This window comes from Homo sapiens, chromosome 3 (genome assembly GCF_000001405.40).
Source record: "Homo sapiens chromosome 3, GRCh38.p14 Primary Assembly".
NCBI lineage: Eukaryota > Metazoa > Chordata > Mammalia > Primates > Hominidae > Homo > Homo sapiens.
Genome location: NC_000003.12, coordinates 78,343,442 through 78,345,312, shown reverse-complemented (window position 1 = coordinate 78,345,312; position 1,871 = coordinate 78,343,442). Strand labels below are relative to the sequence as shown.

General features: G+C 42.3%; 1 annotated feature.

Moving 5' to 3' along the window:
- Nucleotides 391-1,590: an enhancer, noted in NCBI's record as "CDK7 strongly-dependent group 2 enhancer chr3:78392873-78394072 (GRCh37/hg19 assembly coordinates)". NCBI's record gives its function as "activates an origin of replication core promoter dependent on BRD2, BRD4, P300/CBP, MED14 and CDK7 cofactors, with strong dependence on CDK7, by STARR-seq in HCT116 cells {active_cell/tissue: HCT116}" and the evidence as "EXISTENCE:reporter gene assay evidence [ECO:0000049][PMID:35650434]".

The following is a 1,871-nucleotide window of genomic DNA, read 5'->3' as shown; positions in this document are numbered from 1 at the left end:
AGTGACCTGGTCATGAGGGTTTGTTAATAACATCTTCCATTTGAATCCAGAAAGGCGAAAACCATAGTTGGTGACAGTAATTTGTTCGTTGCTCAAAGAAGCTGGCGAATTGCCTTGAACTGCTGATTGTTGCCTAGGAGGGAGGTAATTCTCACCTCAATGCTTTATCTTTTGTAATGTTCTTGTCTTTAGTGTCATAGCAATTAGGTTAGCACCAGAGAAACCTATTAATCATTTTGGTAACTACTAAATTGCGTAAGAGTGTCGATTTGGAATCTTAGGGAGAAAATAGTAGATTAATGAGCTGACTTCAGTTTGATATGATAATCCAAAACTGAATATCTGGTGCCTTACTTGTTTTACAGAGTTGCGAGTGTATATTTTACCCTCTAACCTCTACCTTAACATTAGCAGGAAGTGGGATAGGATATTTGTTCAGAAGTAGAAAAAGAAAGAAAGATAAAGGCAACAATAACCAAGCAACACCCATTAAGGAAAGGGTTATGTATTTTGTATAGGCTAAAACTAATGTGATTCAATGTGTTATGAAGTTGCAACGATTCTTCCCTTCCATATTCACTTAGGCAAATTTGATGAGTGTTCCAAAGAAGACTATTCTCTGTGTCTGTGACTTAAGTGCTTTTGAGAGACAGGACTAGCTGGATTTCCTAGGCCGATTAAGAATCCCTAAGCCTAGCTGGGAAGGTGACCGCATCCGCCTTTAAACACGGGGTTTGCAACTTAGCTCACACCCAACCAATCAGGGAGTAAAGAGAGCTCACTAAAATGCTAATTAGGCAAAAACAGGAGGTAAAGAAATAGTTGATCATCTATTGTCTGAGAGCACAGCAGGAGGGACAATGATAGGGATATAAACCCAGGCATTCGAGCCAGCAACGCAGCCCCTTTTGGGTCCCCTCCCTTTGTATGGGAGCTCTGTTTTCACTCTGTTAAATCTTGCAACTGCACTCTCTGGTCTGTGTTTGTTACAGCTCAAGCTGAGCTTTCGCTCGCCATCCACCACTGGGGTTTGCCGCTGTCGCAGACACAGACCCGCCACTGACTTCCATCCCTCTAGATCCAGCAGGGTGTCCACTGTGCTCCTGATCCAGCAAGGCGCCCATTGCCGCTCCTGATTCTGCTAGAGGCTTGCCATTGTTCCTGCACAGCTGAGTGCCCAGGTTCGTCCTAATCGAGCTGAACACTAGTCACTGGGTTCCACGTTCTCTTCCGTGACCCACGGCTTCTAATAGAGCTATAACACTCACCTCATGGCCCAAGATTCCATTCCTTGGAATCTGTGAGGCCAAGAACCCCACGTCAGAGAACACGAGGCTTGCCACCATCTTGAAAGCTGCCTGCCGCCATTTTGGAAGCAGCCCACCACCCTCTTGGGAGCTCTGGGAGCAAGGACCCCCAGTAACACTTCCACATGGCACCTATGGGTCACCTGAATCCTGAGTTTTTATTAGAGCTAGTCAGGTACAATCTAAAGAGTTCAAAATCAGCTTTGGCTTTTTCACATTTCGGGAAAGGTTTTATATTTCTTGCACACTCTGCATCTTCTAGTGCTAATGACTTTGTCTGGGGTTGGTATCACTTAGTTAGGCAACTGTTCAAAACAAAAGGAGAAAGCAAAAAGAAAAAAACAAATAGACAATAGTTTAATTAATTATAGTTGAAAATAATTCTTGAAATGATTCTAGTCACATCTCTCCTCAAATGTATAGTTATCTTTAAAAGCATATAGTTTTGGAGGGATTTTTTTGTTGTTGTAATTTTGAAGGGATTTTCCTTTAACTGGCTTCTATAAAAGGAATTCTATTATGACTAAAGCAAATATTGGTTTAATGGCTAAGAATAACAGCAAC